Source organism: Homo sapiens, chromosome 18, assembly GCF_000001405.40.
Source record: "Homo sapiens chromosome 18, GRCh38.p14 Primary Assembly".
NCBI lineage: Eukaryota > Metazoa > Chordata > Mammalia > Primates > Hominidae > Homo > Homo sapiens.
The window spans coordinates 63,947,549-63,974,873 of NC_000018.10; the positions used below are offsets into that span (position 1 = coordinate 63,947,549).

A 27,325-nucleotide genomic window follows, 5' to 3' on the forward strand; every position below is an offset into this window, starting at 1 on the left:
GCAAAAAGAAAAGCCTAAATTACTAATATCAGAAATGAAAGTGGTGAAATGCTAAAAATCCCATGTACAGTAAAAAATCATAAAGGAATACTCAGGACAGCTCTGTGCCCACAAATTTGATAAACTACATGACGTGGATCAATTTCTTGAAAGACACAATCCGCCAAAAGTCACACAACAGGAAATAGAACATTTGAATAGGCCTATATCTACTAAAAAAATTAATCAATAATTAATAGCCATCTAAAATAATTACCAGACCCAGATGGGCTCACTGGTAAATTCTAAAAACAAATTAAGAAAACGTTTACTCCAATTCTCTAAATCTCTTTCAGAAGATAGAAGCAGAAGAACTACTTTCTAATTCATTCTATAGGGCTGGAATTACTCTGATAACAAAACCAGACAAAGACATTAGAAGAAAAGAAACTTAAAGACCAATATCTTTCATTAGTATAGATGCAAAATCCTGAACAACATATTCACAAATGAAATCAAACTATGTGTAAAATAGTTGGATTATACATTGTGACTAAGTAAGATTGATTGCAGGTGTACAAGACTAATTCAACATTTGAAAATCAAAGGAATCCGTCATATCAACAGGTAAAAAACAGAAAAAATCCTCAAAAAATTGCTAGCAACTCCAATTCAACAACACATTAAACAGATCACTCACCACGATCAAGTGAGATTCACCCGGGTATGCAAGTATGATTCAATATACACAAATCAATAAATGCGATACATTGCATTAAAAGAACCAACAACAAAAACTGCACGATCATTTCAATAGATGCCGAAAATGTATTCAGTAAAATCCTACATCTCTTTATGATAAAAATCCTTAACACATTGGGTATAGAAGGAATATACCTCAAAACAATAAAAACCAAAATGAAAAACCCACTGCTAATATCATACTGAACAGGGAAAAATTGAAAACCTTTCCTATAAGATCTGCAACAAGACAAGGATGCCCAGTTTCACCCCCTTTATTCAGTATCTGACTGGAAGTCCTGGCCGGGGCAATTAGGCAAGAAAAAGAAACAAAGGACACCCAAACTGGAAAGAAAGATGTAAAATTAGCTTTGCTCACCAATGGTATAATCTTATAATCGGAAAAACCAAAAGACTCCCCTCAAAAACTACTAGAACTAATAAATGAATCAGTAAAGTTGCAGAATACAAAATGGATATAAAATATCCGTAAGATGTCTATACATCTACAGTGAACAGTCTGAAAAAGAAATCAAGAAAGAAATCCCACTTACAATAGCTATAAGAAATATGATGTATAAAATACCTAGTAATCAATTTAATTAAAAAAGTGAAAGACTTCTACAAGGACAACTATAAAACACTGATGAGAAAAACGTGAAGAACACACACAGAAAATGGACACATATTCATGCTCATAGGTTGGAATAATTAATGTTAAAAGTACAATGCTACCCAAACAATTTACAGATTGAATGCAATCCCTGTCAAAATACCAATGTCATTCTTCACAGAAATAGAAAAAAAAAAAAACCCTATAATTTGTATGGAACCACGAAAAACCCCAAATAGCCAAAGCGCATTATCGCTTCTTGACTGAAAACTCCCGGACAGTTGGGGCTTTTTCCTGCACAGAGATTGGCCACTTCCTGCACATCAGGAGATCCCCGCGGCCTGCGGGACCCGCCCCGCCCTCCTGCCCAGGCGCCCGCTAGGTGGTGCCTGGCTGGGCCCGACTCCGCCCGCCTCCCCATTCACTGGGAACTAACACCCGGCGCCGCTCAGACATCTCTATTCCCGCCTCTCCGACCCGGTCTCACTTCGCTCCTGGGCAGCTGCGCGGAGAACTGGGGTAGGTGTTTGACTTTGGGAGTGGTTCCCACACGCTGGATTCTCGTTACCTGCTCTTGAGCCCAGGAAAAGGGCGGGAACCTACGAAAGGGAAGCCCAGTGAAGTGCTCAGCGCACCTGTTGCTCCAGACCTTTCCCTGGGGCTGTCCTTCTTTACTCGGTCTCTGGCGGGGGCTCCCTAAGGGCAGGGACTTGGCTGCACTTGGCTGTGTGCCCTATGGGTCCAGGCGCGGGGAGGGGAGGCCAGGGCGAATGGGCGCGGAGCTGGGGGGTGAAAGTCCTGCCTGGGCTCCACTCATCCTGCAGGAGCTGGAAGTAGGTACAATGAGGCCTCCCACCCTGGTGAAGTTTATGTTGGGCGCTGGAAGGGGCTGTGAGGCCTGGGACCTCCAGGAAAAACAACAGCAGCAGTATTTATTTGTCGGTACCGAAACTCGTATGCTCTCAGTATTCAGAATTTGTACTTGACATTCCTCCTCCTTTAAAAGAAACCAGGAGAGGCGTTGATAGTATGTTTTTGGACTGGAAAAAAATCAAAATGAGGACGATACTGTTGCCAGAAAGCAAAAGTGTTGGGATAGTGTAAAAAGAAAGTAACCAATTTACAGAGATTCCCAGTAGACAAGTTGTGAGAATTTGCTCAAGAACAAAAACCAGTATGTGTTAATTGAAATACATGTTACAACAAAGCCAAGAAAGAGTCCTTTAGTAAATTCAGATAAAACAAGTAAAATGGGCCAGGCGCGGTGGCTCACGCTTGTAATCCCAGCACTTTGGGAGGCTGAGGGGGGCGGATCACGAGGTCAGGAGTTCGAGACCCAGCCTGGCCAATATGGTGAAACCCAGTCTCTACTAAAAATACAAAAATTAGCCGGGTGTCGTGACATGGGCCTGTAGTCCCAGCTACTCAGGAGGCTGAGGCAGAAGAATCGCTTGAACCTGGGAGGCAGAGGTTGCAGTGAGCCAAGATTGCACCACTGCACTCCAGCCTGAGGGACAAAGCGAGACTCTCTCTCAAAAAAAAAAAAAAAAAAAAAAAAAAATGTAAGATGAGTTTAAAGGAGGCAGGAAATAATTTCAATAATGTTTACAAGAAATGCTGTGTGATGATTCATATACGACTGCTGTGTAGGAATAGTGACTATAGGCACCTAGGTTGACAGGCACAGTGGTTACAAAAACCAACCTGAAGGCCTAAATATTAAACCAGGAGACTTTGAAAGCCAACTTGTGGATAGAACTCTGTGTTACGCAAATCAGATGCACGAGAACCTCAAATAGTATTTCATTTCAAGGAAAGGCATTTGGCAAAAAAAAGAAAAAAGCAAATTTAATAGTTGTCTTTGCAAAATCCCAATGTAGGACCAAACTGCAAAATGGTCCTTACATTTGTTTGGCTTTAAAAAGCAGTATGACCTGAAAAGTAGCAGTGTCAGGTCAGTCAGAGCCCATGTCCCAACCATCAATCTGGCAGCCCCATCCTATTGTTTTTGTGAATAGGAGATGGTCTGTTATTAATTTAACCCCAGAAAAGTATTAAAATAAGCATTACCATCACCCTAGGAAATATAAAAAGATAGAGTGAAGATAAAGTGTATAAAACCCACAGTATTACTAGTGGGGTGCTAGAAATAAGTTTTATAATCACTGTTGTACAGTTGTATTTTAAAACATGTTTGAAAGTCTTAGGAGAATCTAGTTTAACAGATTTATAAGTGTTGATTTATTCAGTTTATTATTGTACAAATGCTTATATTAATGATATAGTTGTTAATTTTGTAAGTTTGTTCTTTAAAGTGATTACATCTTTAAAACATCTGATACATTAAGCTTTATCATCAATGCTTAAATGTTTAAAATAACGTATTTGCTGTGTTAGCAGTGTGCTTTAAAGTTTAAGGAAAACAATTTGTTTACCAAATTAACAAGAAATTAATTGATCATTGACTAAATAAGGTATAATAATAGAAAAAATTGGTCTCTGTTTATGAAAATTCTGCTTCGGGAATGAAAATCTTACAGACTAAATAAACCTGCACTCACCAGCAGGGGGGAAACTGTGGGAGATGAGAAATGGGAGTGATAGATTACTCATATGTGGTTGAGCATACGAAGAAATTACTGAAAGAGCTTGAGTGATCTGTAGAATATTTGGTGGGAGGGGAATTTGCCATAGATTTTTAAAAAGTGAAAACAAGAAAAGAGGGGAAGGCAATAGTGACATAAGGAAAAACAGACGTGTAAAAAAAGCAATGCATCCATTATTGATTAATTGGCTTAGCAGCGAATACTATTTAGTTGCAATAAGGCAAACACTTGGAGAGAGGAAGTGAAGTACGGTAAGTGATAAAAGAAAATTAATCATCAGCCCTAAATTAGGAAGGCAATTTATAATGTCAAAAATTGTGGGGTTAAAAATAGTCATATACACAATTATTTCTAAATATGAAAGTAAATACCAAGAGAAAGGGTGCACTGAGGTTTGATTGTTTCTGGGGAGTTGGGAGTAGTGGGAAGACACTGGTTGATTTGTGTAACACCATGGAATACTATGCAGCCATAAAAAATGATGAGTTCATGTCCTTTGTAGGGACATGGATGAAATTGGAAATCATCATTCTCAGTAAACTATCGCAAGAACAAAAAACCAAACACCGCATATTCTCACTCATAGGTGGGAATTGAACAATGAGATCACATGGACACAGGAAGGGGAATATCACACTCTGGGGACTGTGGTGGGGTGGGGGGAGGGGGGAGGGATAGCATTGGGAGATATACCTAATGCTAGATGACGAGTTAGTGGGTGCAGTGCACCAGCATGGCACATGTATACATAACTAACCTGCACAATGTGCACATGTACCCTAAAACTTAAAGTATAATAATAAAAAAAAAAGATCTCGCCTAGTGTTATCTCACTTTTCAACTACATGCAAGTCCATTAATTTCATAAAAGCACAATGACCAAATGACACTGAAACAAATATAGGCACATTGTAGGGAAAATAGCAAAGGATATAAATAAAATTAGAATTACTCATTATCCAGAAATATGTGATGTTCAGTGTTTCCCTGTAGTCTTTTTATCTATGAATTATACTTACATGTAACTTTATTCTTAATTTATACTTAATATTGTATTTTCTCATGGCATGACTGTAATTTTTAATATCTCCATTTATATTCAATCATGGATTTGACAGAATCTAACTGGTTCTCTGTTGCTGGGTATTTAAATATTTTCTCTGTAGCATATAAAGTGCTTCAGTAGTCATCTTTCTGCATACTGTTTTTATCAGTACTTGTGAGCTTTATCTTTAGTGAAATTCTTTGAAATGGAATTTTTCATCCTAAAGGTATAAATATTTTCATGGCATTTTCTTTTTCCTACCCTTCCACCATCCCTGTGTTCCTTCCTCCATTTATAAAAACATAATTCTAAGTTACATTCTGAAAATATTGGTGTCCCAATTTACATAATCACATATGGAATATAGGAGGGAATACCTATTTTACCAGTATTGGAAATCAATAGTTTTTCTTCTTACAAATTTCATGTTTTAAGCAAGTAACTTTCTTGCTTTCTGCTGCTGCTTTTGTTATAAGTCCTTATACCATGGTGATTAAGAGGAGCCCTGGAACCACAAAGACCTGGTTTCTAATGCCTACTTTTCTGTTTGTAGTTGAGTGATCTCAGGCACAACAGACTTAAACAGTGAAGGCTCAATTTCTTTGCTTGTAAAGTGCAGACATTCACTCACAGCACCTATCTCATCAGCTTGTATGGATTAAATGACATCTTGTAAGAAAAGCCCTAGTGTAGTTTTTGTGTGTGTACCTATTTGTTCAATGAAAACAAGTATCCATTTAACTAGTAATAAATAGAGTGAAAAGTAAATACACATGTAAGCCTATATTAATGTAATATTGTTTAAAAATCCATTGTTTCAGGCTCACCGTCATGGATGCTCTATCAGAAGCAAATGGCACATTTGCATTAAACCTTTTGAAAAAGCTAGGGGAAAACAACTCAAACAACTTATTTTTTTCCCCATGAGCATATCATCAGCCTTGGCCATGGTTTTCATGGGGGCAAAGGGAAACACTGCAGCTCAGATGTCTCAGGTACGTAAAGCCACTTCAAGACAACAATAAGTGCTATCAATTTATCAGTTGAGCTGGACTTCTGCATTTCAAGTCTTGAAGAAATTCCTCCTTTAACAGACAACTCTGGTAGTCTCACAGGATGTGGATGGAGAATTGGCAGGATGGAGCATGTTTTCAAGGCCTGACCTTCTTGGTGACCTGGGGTCACTCATGTGGGTGCTTCTGCAGGCAACTGGGCTAGAAGGTCCAAGAAGATACCACTCCCATGTCTGGGCCTTGGTTCTGGCTAGTGGATGGGCCCTCAGTTCCCTAAAAGCAAGTCTTTCCATTCCTCCTTTTATGTGGTCTTTCCTCAGGATAGCTTGGGCTTCTCGACCACGGTAGCTGGGTTACAAGAGAGGGAAAGTGGAAGCTGCCAGACTTTTTAAGGGCTAAGCCTGGAACAGAGCCAGTTCTGCATTCTGCTGTTTAGAGCAAGTCACATGGCCAGCCCAGATTCTGAAGAAGGGGAGAGAGACTCCATCTTTTAGTGTCAGGAGCACCATGTGTATGCAGAGACAGGACACATGGTTGGCAGCTGCGTTTTTAGACCAAGTATCATAAATAGCACAAGAAATCCGAGTCATTTTGTTAGGGTTTGCAAAAGGCATATCCACTTATACCAATACTTAGATAACATTCGTTTCTTTTAGGATGTGCTTATAGGGAGGCCTGAGAAGAGGCATAGGTAGGCAGACAGGGTTGCTTTTGAGACACTCTCTATCTTTTATTAGATTGATCATCTTTTAAGCTGTAGTAAGCATCTGTAAATCTCATATTGCTGAGTTTACTGTTGTGCCTATATTTTGAAGTCACAGAATACTGAGAATGTGTATGTTTATTATTATTTTATTTTCAGGCACTTTGTTTTAGTAAAATCGGAGGTGAAGATGGAGATATTCATCGAGGTTTTCAGTCACTTCTTGTTGCAATTAACAGAACTGACACTGAATATGTGCTTAGAACTGCCAACGGGCTCTTTGGAGAAAAGTCTTATGATTTCCTCACAGTAAGTCATACTTGTTTATTAGGAAAATAAAGATAGCAATGTGGTGGGAAGTAGGAGAATGAATATGGGCTATGAATTCCTGCAGGTGGTCCTGAACTCAGAACTCCACGCACGAATCTCACACGCATCTTGTGATTCAGTTTGATCATCTGTAGCACAGGCTATATAGCAAATACCGTTCAGAATTTTGTGAAGCTTTAATGAGATAATCTTCATAAAAGAACTGACACAGAGCGTAACACAGTTGAAAATGAATCAGCCAAAACAAAGATGTGGTGAAAATGACTGTTTCTCGTAATTGCTTTGCAGATATTTTTAATTTTCTATGCATGATGACACTATAATGTATGCATTAAATAGTTTGACTAGATGTTTCAGCAATGAAAATCTTTTAAAACTAATTTTGGCTAATTACACTGGTTGCATTCGCTGACAATGCTTTCATGACTTTTCTAGTTTTTGAAAAGAAAAGTACCGAAGTAATTTCTTGTTATTTAAAAACACAAACAACACATATAAACCAAGAGATGTCATCAGCTTCTTTCTTATGCCACAACTCCCCTTTTTAACGTTAGAGCTTTCATAGATTTGATGTTTCCTCCTTCACATATAAAAACTTTGCTTCATGAGTTTTTCTCCTATGTAATGTTATTGTACTATGCATATTGTTTTATACTTTGTTAGCTTTTCCTTAAAAATATGTCCTAAATTCCTTCCATCTCAGTATATGTGGATCTGTATTACTCTTTTTAACCCTTGTCTGGTATTCCTAAGTATGGCTGTACCATGGTATAATAGACCTTTCTTGCATTGACGAGTATTTAAGCTTATTTACTCTGGCCCATTACAGACAGGAGTATTTCTTTACACAGTTTTGTGCATATGTGTATGAGTTACTATCTAAAATGGATTTGTAGAAGGGAGGAAGGGAATGAAGCTTTGAGGTTTTCATAAATATTGCCAAATTGCTCTCCACAGTTTTGTAGCCATTTACATTCTGCAGGGGGTATTTATAGGATCCTCAGTTCCACCCACCATCAGCAGAACTGCATAATGTTAACCTTTAAAACTTTTGGAAGGGTGGGGCCAAGATGGCCGACTAAAAGGAGCTCCTGATGCTGGCGTCACCGAGAGGAAACAAAAGGGGTAGTGAACACTGACCCTGAAAGCCGATCATCTGAGAAACCATGTCGAGATCCATCTAGGCAGCAGGGGAACACACAGAGCAGACAGGAATGAATCTGGGCACCAGCCTGTCTGGGATCAGTGCGGTCAGGAGGACCCCTACAAAATGGGGAAGGATGAGTGAATGAGAGTTCCTAGTGGGATTCACACTGTCCACAGGGACCTATGCAAGATTGGGAATGGGAGAATCCTCCTGTCCCCACCGCATTTCCCCACTGTGCTTTTAGACTGGGGCAGAGTGCCACCTGGACGTTTTCCAGGGGTAATTCTGGAGTCCAGGGGGACCTCTACAAGCCTTGGGCCCTGTAGCAGACCAGCACCAAAGCCACAGCCCCAGTAGAGGCCACAGTTGTGGTTCCTGGGAGAAGTAAGATTGCTCTACGCCCTCCTAGGAAATAACATTCTGGACACAGGATTTGGCAAATATTTTATGACAAAGATGCCAAAAGCAATTGCAACGGAAACAAAAATTGAGATATGGGACATAAGTAAACTGAAAAGTTCTGCAGGGCAAAAGAAACTATCAACAGTGTAAACAGACAACCTATAGAAATGGAGAAAATATTTGCAAACTATGCCTCTGATAGAGGTCTAATATCCAGAATCTATTAAAAAAAAAACAAACTTAAATTTACAAGCAAAAACCAAACAACACAACTCCATTAAAAAGTGGCCAAAGGACATGGACAGACACTTTTCAAAAGATGACATATGCGTGGCCAACAAGCCTAGGAAAACATTGCCAACATCACTAATCATTAGAGAAATTCAAATCAAAACCATGATGAGATACCATCTCACACCATTCAGAATGGCTGTTATTAAAATGTCAAAAAACAGATGCTGGTGAAGCTGCACAGAAAAGAGAACACTTCCATGCGGCTGGTGGGAATGTAAATTAGTTCAGCCACTGTGGAAAGGACTTTGGTGATTTCTCAAGAAAATTAAAAGAGAATTGCCATTTGACCCAGCAATCCCATTATTGAGTACATACCTGAAGGAATAGAAATCATTCTACCATAAAGACACATATGTTCATTGCAGCACTATTCACAATGGCAAAAACATGGAATCAACCTAAATGCCCATCAATAGTAGACTGGATTAAAAAAATGTGGTACATATACACCACGAAATACGATGCAGCCATAAAACAGAATGAGATCATGTCCTTTGCAGCCACAGAGATGGAACTGGAGGCTATTAATCATAAGCAAACTAATACGGGAGTAGGAAACCAAATACCACATGTTCTCACTTATAAGTTGGAGGTAAACATCCAGTACATATGGTCACAAGGAAAGGAATAACAGATATGGGGGCTTACTTGAGGGAGAAGGGTGTGGGGAGGGTGAGGATTGAACAACTACCTATCGGGTACTAGGCTTATTACATGGTTGATGAAATAATCTGTATACTAAACCCCTGAAACATGAAATTTGCCTATATAACAAACTTGCTTAGGTATCCGTGAACCTAAAATAAAGTTTTTAAAAAAGAATCTGAGATGGAATATTTACAACATATGCGATAGGGAAGGGTTAATACAAAACAAGAGAAGCAACAAAAAAAAAAAATAAAAACTTTTGATTATAAATGGGATTAAACACTTTTATGTGTATTGAGAATTTCTATCTCTTCTGTGAATTGCCTATTTACATATCCTCTTACACATTTTTCTATGGGGTTGTATGTCTTTTTCTTATTGACTTATAAGAATTATTTTTGTAGAGGATATCTCTCTTACTGTGATATGTATTTTTTCAAACTTGCTTTCGACTCTAAATTAATTGTTTGCAAACAGATTGGTATAAAGTGAAGGTGGTAAGACATAAAAGTGAAATATTTATAAGATTTGTATATGATATTGTGATTTTACAACTTCACTTATTTTACTAGTCTTAGCACTATTTAGTTTATTGCCATCTTTTTACTAGCTTACTAGTTTTCTATATAAAGACAACCAAAATGTTAACAACCAAATATCAATTCGTGGTGGATATTTTGAAAGAAAAGCATTGATATTTAAAATGTTATTTTGATATTGGAATATAAATTAAAAAGATGAGAAATATTTGTAAACCATTTCAGATTAATTTATTATTTATTCTTATTTTCAAGAATCCCATACCAATAGCAATATATAATTACATGTTCTTTTTGTTTGATTTGCCACACTTTGTCAAATAGTAACTTAAAATAGCAGACAGTTATTTAAAAACACGTTTAACAGATGGAAAGATCACCTAGGCGTGCAAGAAGTCATCAATATGTGATTCATCAGTTTGCCTTCAGATTATTTTCTTACACTGAGAGATTTAAATAATTTCCAAACCACTGAAAAATAGGCAGAGGCAGCAATTTTGGAAAAGCATGAATTATGGGAGGATTAAGTGAAATAGTGTACATCGATCAGTTACGTGGTACTGAGAATTCAAAAACGTTACATGAAAAGGTGATATTTCATCAGGACTTCACAGTTATCTTGTGAGGTGTAGCTATTACTGCTTCCTTGTTCTACAGGAGAGAACATGGAGGCATAAACAGAGGAAGCAAATATTTGAAGGTCACACAACTAGTAAGTTGCAGAACTTGTGTTCCTAACTACAGTCACATTTCCTCTCCATGCCATACTGATACAGAAGTATAAAATTCCAAAGTAAAAGCAAAATTATGGAAAGGGAAATTAAATATTTAGCTGTGAGCAGTTTGAGAGAAAGATTGGGAAACAATTCTATAATGCATGGTTCATAAATTAGTTGTTTCAGCTCATTTAATTTCCACCAAATGTTCTGCTTTTATGTGGCATAGTGTAGGTTTCTGTTAAGATCATTATAATTCTACAGAATATATTAACTAAATATAGTTTGAACTTTTTTGGAAAGTTGATCATAGTTTGAAACACCCATAATGCTATGCATTATGTACATGAGTATAAGGTTTCCATGAAATTAATTATTCAGTTCCTCAGTCCAACTAGCTATTAATATATTTCAAGTGCTCAATAGCCTATGTGGCACCGCTCTGGACATTGCAGATTTACAACATTTTCATCATCCCAGAAAGTTCCGATGGACACTGCTGGTCTAGGATTGTATATGTTTCCCATGTAATTTATGGAACAACAGACTCATATTTATAGTCTGTTGTTCTAAAATGTAGAGGCAAATATAGCACTTGCTGTGTTAATCCTCACTCAACAAATTTAATAATTTACAGGAGTGACAGCTTCTATAGTCACCATTTGTAAAAAAGAAAAAAAAAGAATTTATTTTCTAAAGCAATTTTAGGTTCACAGAAAAATTGAGCAAAAGGTACATGCATAGTCCCTCCTGTGATTAACATCCCCTAGTACAGTCATGGGGGACAGCTTTCTTGTTTCTACCTTGGCCGGTTAGGAATAAAGCTGTTATGAATATTTGTGTGCAGGTTTTATCAGCTCCTTTGGGTAAATGGTAAGGGTCATGATTGCTGGATCATATTTTTAGTTTTATAAAAAACTTCCACACTGTCTTCCAAAGTGACTATACAATATTGTATTCCCACCAGCAATGAATGAGAGTTCCTGTTGCTCCACGTTTTCACCAGCATTTAGTGTTGTCAGTGTGTTTTCACTTTCATTTAGTTCAAACTGTTTTTAATATCACTTGAGATTTCTTCTGTGATTCGTGTGTTATTGAATCTCCGAGTACTTTTGGAATTTTCAGCCATCTTTCTCTTATTGATTTCTAGTTTAATTCGTTATTGTCTGAGAGCAGACGTTGCATGATTTCTATTATTTTAAATATGCTAAGTTGTGCTTTGTGGCCCAGAATGTGGTCTCTTTTGGTAAATGTTTCATGTAAGCTTGAGAAGAATATAGATTCTACTCTTGTTGGATGAAGTAGTCAATAGATATCAATTATATCTAGTTACTTGATGTTGTTTTTGAGTTCAACTATGTTCTTTACTAATTTTCTGCTTGCTGGATCTGTTCATTCCTGATAGAGGGATATTGAAGTCTCCAGTTATAATAGTGGATTCATCTATTTCTCCTTTCAGTTCTATTAGTTGTTGCCTTATGTGTCTTGATGGTCCACTATTAGGTACTTACCTATTAAGGATTTCTATGTCTTCTTGGAGATTTCTCAGTGTTTTAAATTATCTCATTGATGGGTGTACTGCCACTCTCATGAAGGATCCAGCAGTTGATGAAAATCACTTGATATGCAGCCCACCGCGTTGCTTAGTTTATAAGCTAAGATTAGGAATAGCTGAAAAGAATTTGGACTTTAGGTTAATTCCTCATCTTTATTTGCAAATTATATATGGTAAATCATAAAATTATTGATTTTCTGATGTGGCACAATGAAGAAGTAAGCCAGTGATATTAGTTGTTTCTGTAGCTGTGAAATTATGTTTTTGGTTTTTCCTAGGGTTTTACAGATTCCTGTGGCAAATTCTACCAAGCAACGATAAAACAGCTAGACTTTGTGAATGATACAGAGAAGTCCACAACACGTGTAAACTCCTGGGTTGCTGATAAAACTAAAGGTGAAAATATATTGTTATTCTATTTCGATAATATTTTAAACAGTTTTATAGTCAGTTCTTTACAAAACTGTCAAATATAAAAAGGAGTCCTTTTTTCTCTAAACAACTATGCAAACATTAAAACCTTTCTTTGGAAATATTGCCAACTCGTAGACCTTTTCTCTAGCTTTAGCTTTTCCCTTATCAAGTATCTGTGATGTCTCTCTAGATGAAATAATCTCTTCCAGGTTTTTTTGCTTGTTAATATTAGGTAGTTTTTCTTTTCACAAATAGCGTTAAAATTTGAATTTAAAAATTTCTAGCTGTCTCCCTCACTGGTATTGCCATACTGTATGGTTTACAGGCTTGAAATGCAACTGCTGTGATCAGTGATAAGGGAACACACTGATGATTTAGATTGAACAGGGAGAGTTATATTGTTTTCTAGGGCACAGCTAAAAAGACATTCCATCAACCCCCTTGCAGCCAGAAAGACCCTGAGCCCTCAGAACTTCACTGACACAACCCATATTTTCTTTCCATAACTGGCCAACTTTTCCCTTTGTACCAAAGCCAGCTACTTAGCTTCAGGGAGAGAATGAGACTGAAGATTACAAGGAGACATCCACATTATATGTGGGCTGAGAGAGGAAAGAGGGAGTATCAGAGGTTGCCGGGTTTGCTACTCTCATTCCTCTTCCTCCTCTGCCCAACACTTGGACTTGGAAAGAAGTCTGAAAGGTGGGGAATAATCAGCCCATATGATTCTTCCACTGCAGAGAGAGCCTCTGAGTGTTACAGCCAGGAGCAACAGGGTGGCACCCTCTTCTTCAGGGAAACACACACCTCTTTGCACTGCCTTGTGGATAGTCCAGTCAAGTGGAGTAAGAGGTGGGAGTGGGGAGTGTAAATGGAGTAACCTCTAAGTATCCAAGCAGGAGGGTGTTTTTTTTTTTTCTTTCCTGGAATGAGGATAATCAAATCATTTCAATATGAATTATGAAAATGAATGATAATGGTTTTATCTGTTATAGAAATATAATATAATCAGACTTTAGCCATGTAAATCATAAAACATAGAGATAACAATATGCATATTGTTCCTAGAGGGTCTTGTGAAATTTTGTTTGTCATATTCTCTTTGAAGAGTTATCATTCACTATTTTATTTCTGTCTTGTAAAGCCTGAAAGCTCATGTGCTGCCTTGACATCTATGGGCTTCTCAGGGCCTCAGAGGCCTGGCCATGAAGTCCCCTGCTCTTGTCAGATATGTGCACCCTATTCACCCACTGAGCAGGAAGGCTCTTCCCCCTTCTAAGTTCCCTTACCAGGCAGTCAGCTGTACCCTCCCTGGGTCTCAACGTGGCTCACTTCCCTCCAGCCTGGAAAATTATTCAAACAAGCCTGTCACATCTGGAGGAGCCAGGAATCGCCTCTTCCTCTTGTTACTGCAAAGCCTGCCTTCCACAGCCCCTACTGGTTCACTCTATTCCCAAATGCAACTCTCCTGTGACCCCGCATGGCATGTGGTGACCTCCCTCCCTGTGAGCAGTTGTGACTAATAAACTGCCGCCAATTTCATCTGTCCAGTGTGTCATGCCATGTGTCTAGTTATCTCCTACTATTTAATGGGGGAGATCCCTCCTTCACCAACAAGGTGAATATGAGACAATCAAAACAGCTACAATTCCGTGAAAGGTCCAGCCTCCCAAATAATAATTCCATGTGTTTTGTGAAATTGCACTAAGACATTTCCCTTACACTATGTAGTGTTTCTTGTAAGTATCCACAAAGTGAGTTCCATTTAGAATTGAATTCTAGGAAAAAAAGTTGATCTGACCTCCTCAGATATGTTTACTGAATACCTTCTTTGCATTGGACATTTTGCATAGATTATTTAATCCTTAGTGATAATAAACCCATGAGGAATCTGAGACTCAGAAGTTAAGTAGCTTGAACAAGTTCTTGTAGCTAGCAACGAGGTAGAATGTGGATCCAATGTCTGGTAATGCCAAACACTGGAAAATTACTCAAACAAGCCTGGTACATCCAGAAAAGCCATGAGTAATCTCTTCCTCTTGTTATTGTGAAACTTACCTATATCAGCTCCTACCAGAAGGGCAGCTGTCAGCACAGTGCAGGAAGAGTAGGGACCAGAAACCTGTCTCCCTTTAAGATGAAGTCTGATTTCTTTGGCTGTGTTATCCCATCTGAAAAGTGGAACTCAGAAACTTCTGGCACCAAAAGCACATCATCCTGGATCCAGGGATGAGCATCCTGGGATATGGAGCTAAGGTCAGGTGCATCTGGGCGCTATGAACTCTGCAAGCATTGCTACCCCCTCCAGGAGTCCTGAATGGAGGTCCTGAGAGCCTTCACTCCTCCTATGCTTCAATAAGTGGGAACTCTAAGGCTCTTGCATCCCTCTTCTCAAAGAGGGCTGCAGGGCCACAGTTGAAAAGGAGAGGTCCAAAGCAAGGGATGGTTTGGAGACTGAGAAGATGGAGGCAGTACCTTCATGAAGTACCCCTCCAGAAGCTGATGCGCTTCTGCATGTGAAAGGTGGCCTTTCCTTTCCTGAGCTGAAGCTTCTGTGTTGAAGGAGATGGAGGGGGCAGAGGACTTGAGGGAGGTTTCCAGTCCTGAGGGCTTGCTGAACAAGCTGACGTTGATCTGATACTCACAGATCATAGCATGGACCATGCACACCTGATTGGCGTATCTAGTGGCTGTTGGGGAATGCAGCATAAAATTCCTCTCCCACCAATACTAGTGTTGACTTCAGATGTAGTTTTCTTTCTTTCTTTCTTTTCTTTCTCTTTCTTTCTTTCTTTCTTTCTTTCTTTCTTTCTTTCTTTCTTTCTTTCTTTCTTTCTTTCCTTTCTTTCTTCTCTCTCTCTTCTTTCTTTCTCTCTCTCTCCCTTCCTTCCTTCATTGCTTCCTTCCTTGCTTCCTTCCTTCCTTCCTTCCTTGCTTCCTTCCTTCCTTCCTTGCTTCCTTCCTTCCTTCTTTCCTTGCTTCCTTCCTTCCAAGACAGAGTATCGCTCTGTCACCCAGGCTGGAGTGCAGTGGTGCAATCTCAGCTCATTGCAACCTCCACCTCCTGGGTTCAAGCATGTCTCCTGCCCCAGCCTCCCGACCAATTTTTGTATTTTTAGTAGAGACGGGGTTTCACCATGTTGGCCAGGCTGGTCTTGAACTCCTGTCCTCGTGATCCACCACCTCGGCCTCCCAAAGTGCTGAGATTACAGACATGAGCCACCGCACCAGGCCGGAAGTAGTTTGCTTTCTCTAGCTGCTTGTGACCAAGCATAAAATGTTTTACCAGTGAATTCCTTAGATATTGTCCTTGAGATGAAGGATTCTGGAGAGGATCAGGAAAAGAGACAGATTCAGTAGTTATCATCCAGATTTAATGACAGGCTTGCCTGAGAACTCCATTCATTGCTGTGCCAGATATCAATTTATTGTCTATCAGCTCTAAATCTACCTTTGTGGACTTTGTGATAGTAAACCTGGATCCTGTAACAAGAACTTGACTGACTGGCCCAGTGTTCAGCTTTGCCAATAGAGGGAGCTGGAGAGACACTGTAAGAAGATAGAAGTAGAAATGCACTTTCTGGATTCTGATCTTCTTAGGATTATTCAGTGTAGGCACCCAGCAGCTCACTTGGTCATCTGTAGCCACATTCTCAGGGAATGCTTTCTCCACACAATGGCCATTTCTGCATTTGGTCAAGATGCAACCTCTGGCAACTATATCCCTACCAGGCATTTGCTTCTATGGTCCAGCCCCAGCCTGCCCACACCCTCCAGCAAGGACATATGGCTTCTCGTAAGCCAGCTTTGGCCATCTGACAAGTTTCATAGCCACTGCAGACTGCATGTTCCTGTGGCAGCCACACCTTCAAAGAGCTCTGAATATCAGCCTTGGGACATTCAGTCATGTTAGTTTGCTCAGGTGGGTATAATAAAATACCATAGGCTGGGTGTGGTGGCTCATGCCTATAATCCCAGCACTTTGGGAAGCCAAGGTGGGCAGATCACCGGAGGTCAGGAGTTAGAGACCATCCTGGCCAACATGGTGAAACCCCATCTCTACTGAAAATACAAAACTGAAAACAAAAACAAAAAAATTAACTGGGCATGGTGGCACCTGCCTATAGTCCCAGCTACTCAGGAGGCTGAGCCAGGAGAATCGCTTGAACCCAGGAGGCAGAGGCTGCAGTGAACCAAGATCATGCCACTGCACTTCAGCTTGGGCAACAGAGTGAGACACTGATTCAAAAAATAAAAATAAAATACCATAGACTGGGCAGTTTAAGCAACTGACATTTCTCAGAGTTTTAGAGGCTGGGAAGTCCAAGATCAGGCTGCCAGGAGATTTGGTTTCTGAAGAGGGCTCTATTCCTGGTTTGCAGAAGGCCACCTTTTAGCTATGTTCACATGGCAGGGAGAGCAATTTATCTCTTCTTCTTTTAATGCCACTAATTTCTTCAAGAGGGCCCAACCCTCCTGACTTTATTTTACCCCAATCAACTCCCAAAGGCCCTATCTCCAGAAACTATCATCTTAGGGGTTAGGGCTTTTACATAAAAATTTTGTGAGGACATAATACAGTCTATGACCTATGTCTTTTCCTAAGTCCTTAGTTCTTTTTTTTTCCACTTACCCCAAGACATGAAGTGACAATTTCTCTTTTGTACCTTCTACATCTGCTGCCATTACAGTATTTTTAAAAAATCTATTACTTAATAATTCTTTGTATTAATTCTCTTCTCTTCAAATCTCTGATGTAGTTTGTTTGCAAAGTGAACACTGCCTGATGTAACTGAATAAGCATCTCTCCCACTATTATGAAAGAGTGTGGCAGGAGACTGAAGTCCACAGTGTGGATCTAGCAAACACATTCTGGCTTGAGGGTGTGCAGCTATTAGAAAAACTACTCCATTAAAAACTGAAAATTCTGAGATTAATGCTGAACCAGACAGGACACTAGAACAAGTGGCAGGAACTCACACTGTTTCAACAATCAATGGTAACTCTATTGATAAGCTAAAATCTGAGAGGCTATCAGGGATCTCCTATTCAACTTTCCTATCTGCAACACATTCAATCAAAGCACGAAAAGATACGTTTAGAAACCAAAGAGATCTTTCTAATTCCCTCCAAATTCTTTGTCACTTAATACTTCCCCTTAACCCCCTTCAAATTAATGGAGAGACTGACGATTCACTAATGAGGGACTAATGGCAGTTTCCAGGCAATGCCATATCAGGAGCCTTTTTTTCTTTTATAAGTTCCTTGAAATACAATACCAGGCATATTAATGTAATGCTTTTCACATTAAGGTCCACTGGGTTCTCCATACCCTTGATCAGCAGAGGCTCTACAACATGTATGTTTCATTGCTTACATTTGTCTTGGTAACAATCTAGACATTTTCATATAAGCATTGTCTTAGTCTGTTTTGTGTTGCTATATAGGAATACCTGAGGCTGGGTAGTTTATAAAGAAAGAAGGCTTATTTGGCTCATATTCTGCAGAATATACAAGAGGTATGGCACTGGCATCCCCAGGCTTCTGGAGAGGGCTTTTGTGCTATGTCAAAAGACATTGAACCTCAGGAGGCGGAGGTTGCAGTGAACCTTCATTGAACCTGCAGGTTCAATGAGGGAAAGGTCAAAGGGGATGCAGGCACATGCGAAGAGGGACCAAACATGGGGAGAAACCTTACTTTATAACAACCCACTCTTGGAGGAATTAATCCATTCCATGAGAGCTAATTGTACCTCACTGACTACCAGGAGAACAGGACCAAGGCTTTCACAAGGGATCCACCCACATGACGCAGACACCTCTCCCTAAGTGGAACACTGGCACAGCAGGGACTGAATCGCAGTGTGGGTTTTCGTGGAGACAAAAATCCACACCCAAACCACAGCCATTATGTTTTGGATTGTCCAGACATCCACTTTATAACTCAGTAATCTTTTGAATTTAGGATTGTGCTGTTAGTAAGCAGTACAAATTTGTCTGGGGAATGTTAATGAAAAATGACAGAAGCAGATCCTGTAAAATTGATTCATTAACTCAAAGGACTAACCAAATAATATTCAAGAAGGTTTTAATTGTTTGAATAAAGAGAAGTGGTGGGAGAACTGAAAAGAGAATGTACTTGTGTAAATCGAATGTACCTGATAGGATAGGTACACCGGTCTCAAAAAAATTGGCACTAACGCAGTCAGAACACATTTCAAGTTAAAAATAGGAATTAACTACAGCAAAACAGCACCACAGATCACATACACGGACACTCCATTTCATCATTTAGCCCAACTTCTCCTAGAGAGTGAACACTCCATTCCTTAAGTGTTATCACAATCGAATTAATTTTTCCTGACATTTATTTATTTCAATTAAACTCTTCTTCCATCACTGAATATGTGAAACACTGTCCAATTGTCTTGTGACAATATTATTACCACAGGGTATGGCAGAAAAAGCAGTTCTCTGGGAATGTGGCCATACTGACTGTAGTCTCAATTCTTCTGTGAATTCTTCATGGGACTCTGGGCAAATCACACAAACTACCTCTATTTCACCATCCTCTCCTGCAAAATATAAGGAACAGCGTCAACAATATGGTTCTTTCAAATGCTTACATTTTATGATGCTATGTTTGTTTCTCTAGCATTAATTAGCTGAAGCAAGTGTGTTTTGTTTTTGCTTTTTGTGTTTTTTTACACTTTCTCAAAACCAGGGAAGATTGCTGGGAATCTCATGGGAGATTGAGAGCTGTGGCCGGGCATATATGAAGTAACTTTTGCTAGAGTATATGGTCAGTCACTGAAGGATATTTTGGAACTCCGGTGAGACTCTTTGTTTTTTGTTTGTTTGTTTGAGACAGTCTCGCTCTGTTGCCCAGGCTGGAGTGCAGTGGCACAATCTCAACTCACTGCAACCTCCCGAGGTTCAAGCAGTTCTCCTGCTTCAGTGCCCCCTAGTAGCTGGGGTTACAGGCACCTGCCACCACGCCTGGCTCATTTTTGTATTTTTAGCAGAGACGGGGTTTCACCACGTTGGCCAGGCTGGTCTGGAACTCCTGACCTCAGGTGATCCGCCCGCCTCGGCCTCCAAAAGTGCTGGGATTACAGGCATGAGCCACTGTGCCCTGCCCCGTGAGATTCTTTAAGGTGGAGTATTTGTGCATTTTACAGCAAGGAGTACAGAGACCTCGAATCACCCCAGGAAGCTCCAATTATGCCTGGACTCTACTTCCTTCTTGACAAGTGGAAGTCTAATTTGGAGACGGTGGTAGCTCAACCTGAGACTAGCCTAGGAGTGTGCCCTTCCTGAGGTCCACAAAGTCAGGAGCCGAGGGAGTCAGACAAAACTAGGTCAAGGTTGAGTCGGGAGTTGAGAACCAGCAGATACTCCCTAGTACTGACTGAAGAGATGTGAAGTTAGGTATGAGGCAAGAAGACAGAAGATGAGGCTGAGGACAGTTTCTGAGGCACTGAATTATATACTCTGGAACCTTATCAGTTACCTGTTGTGTCCCCAGTGGGCCAGGGTGGAGTGGGGAGCCTGTTCAGGCTCACTCTGAAATTGGGCTTTAGTTATTCTGAGAGATGGGTTTCCCTTCAGGGCCCAGCATTTAAATTGTCCATACTCAGAAAATAAATACAATTAATCCTCGTGAATATCGACTTGCAGACAAATTCCTTACCTAGGAAAACAGACCAGTTCTACTTTTCATTGCATTATTTCAAAAATTAGATTTGTTCATTCTTGGATTCATCTTTGATTCTTCCTGCTCCCTCTTCCTCTCATGGTCCAAGAAGTGATGCCAAATTTATGTCCTGGAAATTCCTCAAGGCCATGTCCTCCTCTCCATTTCTCCTGCCTCTGTTTCATTTCAGCTTTCCTCATCTCTCATCCATGCTGCGTCCTTAACGCCTCACTGCAGGCAATGGTACCCTCCTACAATATACTCCATGTTGCAGCCAGAGGGACCTTCGTAAATACAAATATGATTATGTTTCTCCCCAGCTTAAAATCCTTTTGTGTTTCCCCATAGTCCACAAGGGAACGAAGAAACACCACCAACAGCGTCCACATGGCCTTCACGACATGGCCCTGTGGACACATCAGACGTTGTCTTGCAGTGCCTCATCCACACTATCTGTACCACTGCAGGCCTGGATACGTCATGGTTTTCATGGTGCTATCTTGTGCCTCTTTGCACCTGCACGCACTGTGTTTCCTACATGGGATATCTGTGTTTACAACCAAACTCCCAGGGGCCAAATTATATCCTTTGTAAAGGACTTCAAACCACCAGGCATTTGCTGGAAGTTTCACGGAGGAAAACAAGCATTTTTCATCTTTTAATCTGTTTTGCTGGTCAAAGAGGAAAAGGAGTGGATGGACAAAGTGGGGCCCAAAGTCTGGATCTAGTTCTGACCAACAAGGAGAAATTGATGCACAATGGGGAAGTGACCTTGGCATTTTCAACTGGCAGAGCCGGTAAGTTTGGGCACAGTTCAAATGTGAGTCTGTAGCCACTAGAGAGAGGGGTTTCAAAGTCATGGAGAAAAGATGGGGGTGAATCCTGCACCAAGACTTATTGAGGAGAGTTCTTGGGAACAGTTACTTTTAGGATTCCACAGGGAAATCACTGAGCGAGTTTTACAAAATACTGCTGCTGGGTTCCCTCCTCCAAGAGATCTTTACTTAATTGGTTTGGGGTGCAGAGTGGGAATGTGCATCTTTAAAAGCAGAATTCCCAAACTGGAGAGCTCTGTGAGAGCTTCCTGCAGGAGACATTATTTGAACTGAATTTTGAAAGACAAGCTTGCATGCCAGGAACCCCATGTATATGAACAGAGGATATGAAGGAATGTAAATAATTTGCTATGGCTCTAAAGAAAAGAAGGGAGAAATCAAGACGTGAAGAGGCTTACACTCCTTGCTCAATAGTTTCTAATTTATCTTTTTGGATAAGAGGATGTTATAAAGGATTTTAAACTGAGGTATAAAATAATTAGAATTGGAATGTTTACCTGAACTTCAGAGTAGGCAATAGGTTGGCATGGATCAGAACTGTAGGTAGGAAAATTAATTGTTTAGGAGAGACATGAGACATGATAGAGGTGACAGAGTATGGACAGGAGGAACACAAAAGTGATAGAAGTAACAGGACTGTTGATCATTTAGTTAAAAGAACTGCGGAGGGACACACCCAGGTTTCTGAGAGATGTCCAGTAGTACACAGGTAACATCTACGGCTCGAGACAGGTTAGAGATTTTGAAGAAATAAGTTAAAAGTTGAAACATGAACCTATGGATATAGTGGAGGTCATACAAGAAGATCATATTATAATGAAAAGAAGAGGGCTTAGAATGGTAGGAAAGGAATCAGGATACCAAGCAAAGGAGTCAGGAAAGAAGGGAAGGGTGCTCTGGAAATCCTGGGAAGGTCAAAGAAGAAAGGGCTAAATGTCGCCAACAAACAAAATGAAATAAGACCTGGGATGTATTTTTTGGCCAAGGCAATTAGAAAATGATTAGTATCCTTATCAGGAGCAATTTCAGAGAATGTTTGGGTGGACGTCTAACTACAGTGGAGTCAAACGTGAATCAACGGTGAAAAAAGGACAATAGCCAATGTGTACACTTTTTATAAAAACCACCCTCCAAGGACCAGGCACTGGCCCTCTCTCCGGTGCCCACAGACATCCACACAGGCCCAAAGAATCAGGGATTGCACAAGCCAGAGCAATCGAACGGTTCTGAGTCATCTGCCGGAAGCCTTGCCCTCAATCAAGGCGGACGTGAAGCATCTACAAAGGAGGAATAGTCAAAGCAGCAGCGGCGGCGGCGGCGGCGGCAGCAGCAGCAGCAGCAGGAGGTGGGGGCCTCTGCCAGGTACCGGGCGGGGCAGGCACGGAGGTGCCCAGGTTCCCGCGGAGGCCACCTCTTCCCTGGAGTGCGTGAGAGAGGGGAAGGGAGGAAGGCCAGAGCAGGAATCAGAGCGAGGCAAAGGCGGGCAGGAACTAGGAGAATGACGGCGGGAGGCGGCCGGGAAAGAGAGTCGCGGGGCTGTGGGGGTCGCCCTGGCACCAGCCGGGGTCCCAAGCCCCACCGCGAGACCCGGCGAAGGCCGAGGGCCGGGTCCCGAGAACAGGTGCGCCCAGACCCGCCCTGAATAGGAAGCTGCCCCTGGAGAGGGAGCGTCTGTTTCTAGGCTTGCGATTTGCTGCGCTGTGATTTGCTGCCGGATGGGAGCGGGGGGTGACGCGAGCAGTGAGTTTGGAAGCGCCGGAAGCTTGGGCGGGAGCCCCGGGAGGGCGAGTGGGAGGAGCCGCCGCTGCGGAGGAGGCTCCGGGAGTGCGGGTGGCGGGGCCTGGAATTTCCGTGGCGCCTGGGGCAGATCGGGGAGGCGCCGAGTCCCTGCTCCCCTGGCGCCCAAGCTTGCCCCTGTGCTTACAGCCTATTGGTTGCACCTTCTCCTTCCCTTCCTGTCCCCCCCCTCCGTTCTTTCCACCCCTGCCTTCATCTTTCTGTATCTTTCATATTCTCTTCTTCATTGTCTGCTTCCTCTCAAATGGGATGGGGTTGGGGGTGCTTCTTCACCTACGCCCCTCTCTGTTGCAGCCACCGGCGTTACTTTAACCAATTCCTCACTTTCCAGACACTCTCAGTCCTCTGGCTGCTGCTTCACTCCTGAGACCTCTCCATTCCAAAGGGCCTCACCCAGGGCTGCTCTCCGGGCCCCTCCCGCTTCCCTGCCTCGGGCTCTGCGTAGACCGCGCCCTCTTCCCTGGGTCCACTCGCAGGGGCAGACTCGTCTCCCCAGTTCTCCCAGCACACCCTGATGGCTGGGTCTCAGTCTCCGTTTCGCGCGCGCGCTCTCCCCTCGCCCTCCTCTGTCTCTTCCTTTTACTACCTCCAGATATTGGAAATTCCACAGAAATAGGTGGATTTCTTCCCTTGTGCCTCCACTAGATGTTCTGTGTAGTTTCATCCATTCTCATGGAACCTCTCGGAATCGGGATGCTGATGGCTCCAGGTCTCTGGCTCTAGACAGTCTACTCATCCCCGTCCCTAACTGTTTACAAACATCCTTGGCTGTCTTTGTTACAGGTTCACCTGGTATGGTGTGTTCCACGCATCTCAAATGGAACAAGTCATATTCCCCATTCCAGCCTGACTCCTCATTTAAAATTCCAGTGGTTCACGACCCACCCTGAGTATGAATTTATAACAGCTAGGCGCCTCGGGACTGGGCCCTCCTGTGCTCTGTCCCTATGTGAGCAGTCACTGCCTGGCAATTCCAGCCCCCACTTCTCTATTGCAGACAATCCCTCTGCTTTCAGCAGTCCCTGGCCCATGGTGGTGGCCTACGCGCCAGCTCCCCAGCCTCTTTTCATACCAAATACTGAGCCGGGTTATCTTTCTAAAGCCCCAATGCACTCATATGAGACGTTTGTTTAAAAACCATGCATGGCTTTCCAGACCATAATCTCAAGTTCAAACTCCTAAATGTGGCATAAGGGTCCGTCCTATCTCACTACCACGTGGCTCACAGGAAACCATAGAAACCCACCCCAGGGGCACCACACAAACCATGCCCTTTGTCTTCCTGCCACATTCTTGGCACCTGCTAATTCCTCAGCCTATTATTTGCATCCCCCATTTCACCACCTACGGAATGCCTGCCCGGCTTTTCTTTTTTCTTTTTTTTTTTGATATGTGGTTTTAATAAGTTTCATTACCTATTGAATAAATACAAAAGAACATTTAAAATGTGTATTGAATTATAAAGAACAGCAGTACAACCCATCACCCAGTTTAATAACTGGAATATTGTCATCGCTGGAGGCCGTGTTTCCCTACTGATCACACCCTCCTCCCTCATCACATCCGCTTCCCTCCCCTCTGTATCACCACCTTCCTGAGTTTCATGATAATAACGACATAGTTTTACTGTCTACACATGCATCCAGAATGATTTAGTTTAGCCTGGTTTTGAACTTTACGTATATGGAATAATACTGTATTACTCTGTGGCTTAATCCTTTAATACATTATTTGTGGGAATTGTCCATGTCAAAAACTAAAGAACTTATAGATATGGTTCTTTCAGTTTTTATTGTTCTGTATTCCATTATACTAATATACTACAATCCATTTATCCATTCTGTTTTTGATGGACATTTGGGTTGTTTCTTTTTTATTATTATACTTTAAGCTCTAGGGTAAAAGTGCACAATATGCAAGTTTGATACATAGGTATACATGAGCCATGTTGGTTTGCCGCACCCATCAACTAGTCATTTACATTAGGTATTTCTCCTAATGCTATTCCTCTCACATCCCCCCCGCCCACCCCACAGGCCCCGGTGTGTGATTTTCCCCACCCTATGTCCAAGTGTTTTCATTGTTCAGTTCCCACCTATGAGTGAGAACATGTGGTGTTTGGGTTTCTGTCTTTGTGGTAGTTTGCTGAGAATGATGGTTTCCAGCTTCATCCATGTCCCTACAAAGGACATGAACTCATCGTTTTTTTATGGCTGCATAGTATTCCATGGTGTATATATGCCACATTTTCTTAATCCAGTCTATCATTGATGGACATTTGGGTTGGTTCCAAGTCTTTGCTATTGTGAATAGTGCCGCAATAAACATACATGTGCATGTGTCTTTGTAGTAGCATGATTTATAATCCTTTGGGTGTATACCCAGTAATGGGGTGGCTGGGTCAAATGGTATTTCTAGTTCTAGATCCTTGAGGAATCGCCACACTGTCTTCCATAATGGTTGAACTAGTTTACAGTCCTACCAAGAGTTTAAAAGTGTTCCTTTTTCTCCACATCCTCTCCAGCACCTGTTGTTTCCTGACTTTTTAATGATCACCATTCTAACTGGTGTGAGATGGTATCTCATTGTGGTTTTGATTTGCATTTCTCTGATGACCAGTGATGATGAACGTTTTTTCACGTGTCTGTTGCCTGCATAAATGTCTTCCTTTGAGAAGTGTCTGTTCATATCCATTGCCCACTTTTTGATGGGGTTGTTTGTTTTTTTCTTGTAAATTTGTTTGAGTTCTTTGTAGATTCTGGATATTAGCCCTTTGTCAGATGGGTAGATTGCAAAAATTTTCTCCCATTCTGTAGGTTGCCTGTTTACTCTGATGGTAGTTTCTTTTGCTGTGCAGAAGCTCTTTAGTTTAATTAGATCCCATTTGTCTACTTTGGCTTTTGTTGCCATTGCTTTTGGTGTTTTAGTCATGAAGTCCTTGCCCATGGCTATGTCCTGAATGGTATTGCCTAGGTTTTCTTCTAGGGTTTTTATGGTTTTAGGTCTAACATTTAAGTCTTCAATCCATCTTGAATTAATTTTTGTATAAGGTGTAAGGAAGGGATCCAGTTTCAGCTTTCTACATATGCCAGTTTTCCCAGCACCATTTATTAAATAGGGAATCCGTTCTCCATTTCTTGTTTTTGTCCGGTTTGTCAAAGATCAGATGGTTGTAGATGTGTGGTATTATTTCTGAGGCCTCTGTTCTGCTCCATTGGTCTATATCTCTGTTTTGGTACCAGTACCATGCTGTTTTGGTTACTGAAGCCTTGTAGTGTAGTTTGAAGTCAGGTAATGTGATGCCTCCAGCTTTGTTCTTTTTGCTTAGGATTGTCTTGGCAATGTGGGCTCTTTTTTGGTTCCATATGAACTTTAAAGTAGTTTTTTCCAATTCTGTGAAGAAAGTCATTGGTAGCTTGATGGGGATGGCATTGAATCTATAAATTACCTTGGCCTGCCCAGCTTTTAAAGCCAGCTTCTCTGGAAAGTCTTTCCAGGATTCTGTAGAGGTTTTCTTCTTATTATTTATTTATTTACTTGTTTTTTTCTGAGGATTTCCATAGCACTTTCAAAATTATCCTGTTATAGAGCACCTGACTGGCTTGAAACTACGCATTTCCATATGTGTGTCTTCTTTAGGGTGTAAGCTTCTGGGCAGTGATTAACGCATTTATTTTTCATTTTCTCCTCCCAAAACAGGTAGTGAACATTCTACATAAATGCTCTTTGAATAAACTCACTTTTGGATGTTGTATGGGGATGGGGGAGTGGAGGAGGTAGTTCGTAGGTATTTGGGGCTCCCAGGAGGAGGACAATATCATATACTTGGAAACGTAAGGCTTGCTTTTGAGGCTGACTCTCACTTTTTCTGTGAGTCCTGTGGACAGTATTTAATTGCCTCTGTCTTTGTTTGTTTGCCTGAAAAGGAAAAACTAGTTTAATGCCAATTTATTTGGTTGGCTGGAAATAAAAACTTCTGATTCCTGTGTTTTTATAACACAATCTAATTGTGGCATTGGCACCTAAAGTATTATTTTGTATTAAAATTAATTGCTTTTTAGAAATATTGGGTAAAGTCCATTTTGTTTAAAGTTCCAACCCTTTCAAAAGCTATAAAGTCCAAATGAGATTGGAACACCAGGAAGACAGGGGGAAGAGTCATTCTGTTACCTGGTTTTCTCCCCTGCCTGACTTCTGACCTGAGCAGAGGCCAAGGGGGTGCACTTGTGTGTGAGTGTGTGCACATGTATT

General features: G+C 41.1%; 2 protein-coding genes and 1 long non-coding RNA gene across 14 annotated transcripts in view, besides 9 other annotated features; 2 read left to right on the top strand and 1 right to left on the bottom strand.

Moving 5' to 3' along the window:
- Window positions 1,591-1,820: a silencer, noted in NCBI's record as "silent region_9531". NCBI's record gives its function as "represses an Ori minimal core promoter by ATAC-STARR-seq in GM12878 lymphoblastoid cells {active_cell/tissue: GM12878}" and the evidence as "EXISTENCE:reporter gene assay evidence [ECO:0000049][PMID:35858748]".
- HMSD (histocompatibility minor serpin domain containing) lies at window positions 1,753-22,100 on the top strand. 3 transcript variants are annotated; one of them, XM_017025710.2, is made up of 5 exons: window positions 1,753-1,852; window positions 5,806-5,979; window positions 6,860-7,009; window positions 12,610-12,727; window positions 20,790-22,100. In XM_017025710.2, the coding sequence occupies exons 2-5, from the start codon at window positions 5,908-5,910 to the stop codon at window positions 21,101-21,103; spliced, it is 654 nt and encodes a 217-aa protein (XP_016881199.1). In that variant the 5' UTR covers window positions 1,753-1,852; window positions 5,806-5,907; the 3' UTR covers window positions 21,104-22,100. The 3 variants fall into 3 exon arrangements, with proteins under 3 accessions (XP_016881199.1, XP_011524232.1, NP_001116838.1); XM_011525930.3 differs by lacking the exon at window positions 20,790-22,100 and adding an exon at window positions 14,088-14,287; NM_001123366.2 differs by lacking the exon at window positions 20,790-22,100 and having other exon boundaries at window positions 12,610-14,287.
- Window positions 3,953-4,042: an enhancer, noted in NCBI's record as "active region_13470". NCBI's record gives its function as "activates an Ori minimal core promoter by ATAC-STARR-seq in GM12878 lymphoblastoid cells {active_cell/tissue: GM12878}" and the evidence as "EXISTENCE:reporter gene assay evidence [ECO:0000049][PMID:35858748]".
- LOC105372165 (uncharacterized) lies at window positions 18,817-22,956 on the bottom strand. Its single transcript, XR_935576.3, has 3 exons — window positions 21,775-22,956; window positions 20,439-20,725; window positions 18,817-19,320 (listed from the first exon to the last, which is right to left on the bottom strand). It is a non-coding gene; the product is annotated as an uncharacterized LOC105372165 (long non-coding RNA).
- Window positions 22,365-22,414: an enhancer, noted in NCBI's record as "active region_13471". NCBI's record gives its function as "activates an Ori minimal core promoter by ATAC-STARR-seq in GM12878 lymphoblastoid cells {active_cell/tissue: GM12878}" and the evidence as "EXISTENCE:reporter gene assay evidence [ECO:0000049][PMID:35858748]".
- Window positions 22,445-22,614: an enhancer, noted in NCBI's record as "active region_13472". NCBI's record gives its function as "activates an Ori minimal core promoter by ATAC-STARR-seq in GM12878 lymphoblastoid cells {active_cell/tissue: GM12878}" and the evidence as "EXISTENCE:reporter gene assay evidence [ECO:0000049][PMID:35858748]".
- Window positions 22,533-27,325, top strand: part of SERPINB8 (serpin family B member 8) — a 49,699-nt gene continuing 44,906 nt past the window's right edge. For 7 of the 10 annotated variants that reach the window (NR_145571.2, NM_001348367.2, NM_002640.4 and 4 more), the window contains exon 1: window positions 22,533-22,622. The gene's annotated coding sequence lies outside the window, so the exon portion shown is untranslated. Of the gene's footprint in view, window positions 22,701-27,325 lie in introns of all 10 variants that reach the window. The other 3 variants (NM_198833.2, NM_001348369.2, NM_001366198.1) reach the window with 2 other exon arrangements.
- Window positions 22,675-22,874: a silencer, noted in NCBI's record as "silent region_9532". NCBI's record gives its function as "represses an Ori minimal core promoter by ATAC-STARR-seq in GM12878 lymphoblastoid cells {active_cell/tissue: GM12878}" and the evidence as "EXISTENCE:reporter gene assay evidence [ECO:0000049][PMID:35858748]".
- Window positions 22,885-22,944: a silencer, noted in NCBI's record as "silent region_9533". NCBI's record gives its function as "represses an Ori minimal core promoter by ATAC-STARR-seq in GM12878 lymphoblastoid cells {active_cell/tissue: GM12878}" and the evidence as "EXISTENCE:reporter gene assay evidence [ECO:0000049][PMID:35858748]".
- Window positions 22,885-23,234: a biological region, named in NCBI's record as "Sharpr-MPRA regulatory region 9998".
- Window positions 22,907-23,201: an enhancer, noted in NCBI's record as "tiled region #9998; HepG2 Activating DNase matched - State 4:PromP, and K562 Activating non-DNase unmatched - State 3:PromF". NCBI's record gives its function as "activates a minimal TATA promoter and a strong SV40 promoter by Sharpr-MPRA in HepG2 and K562 cells {active_cell/tissue: HepG2 | K562}" and the evidence as "EXISTENCE:reporter gene assay evidence [ECO:0000049][PMID:27701403]".
- Window positions 23,015-23,234: a silencer, noted in NCBI's record as "silent region_9534". NCBI's record gives its function as "represses an Ori minimal core promoter by ATAC-STARR-seq in GM12878 lymphoblastoid cells {active_cell/tissue: GM12878}" and the evidence as "EXISTENCE:reporter gene assay evidence [ECO:0000049][PMID:35858748]".

Excerpts from the sequence above, each read along its gene's own strand:
- HMSD (XM_017025710.2), top strand. The coding sequence starts at position 5,908 with ATGAGCATATCATCAGCCTTGGCCATGGTTTTCATGGGGGCAAAGGGA. Across the intron at positions 7,010-12,609 it reads AGTCTTATGATTTCCTCACA|GGTTTTACAGATTCCTGTGG; the intron begins GTAAGTCATACT and ends GGTTTTTCCTAG. Across the intron at positions 12,728-20,789 it reads GGTTGCTGATAAAACTAAAG|TCCACAAGGGAACGAAGAAA; the intron begins GTGAAAATATAT and ends GTTTCCCCATAG.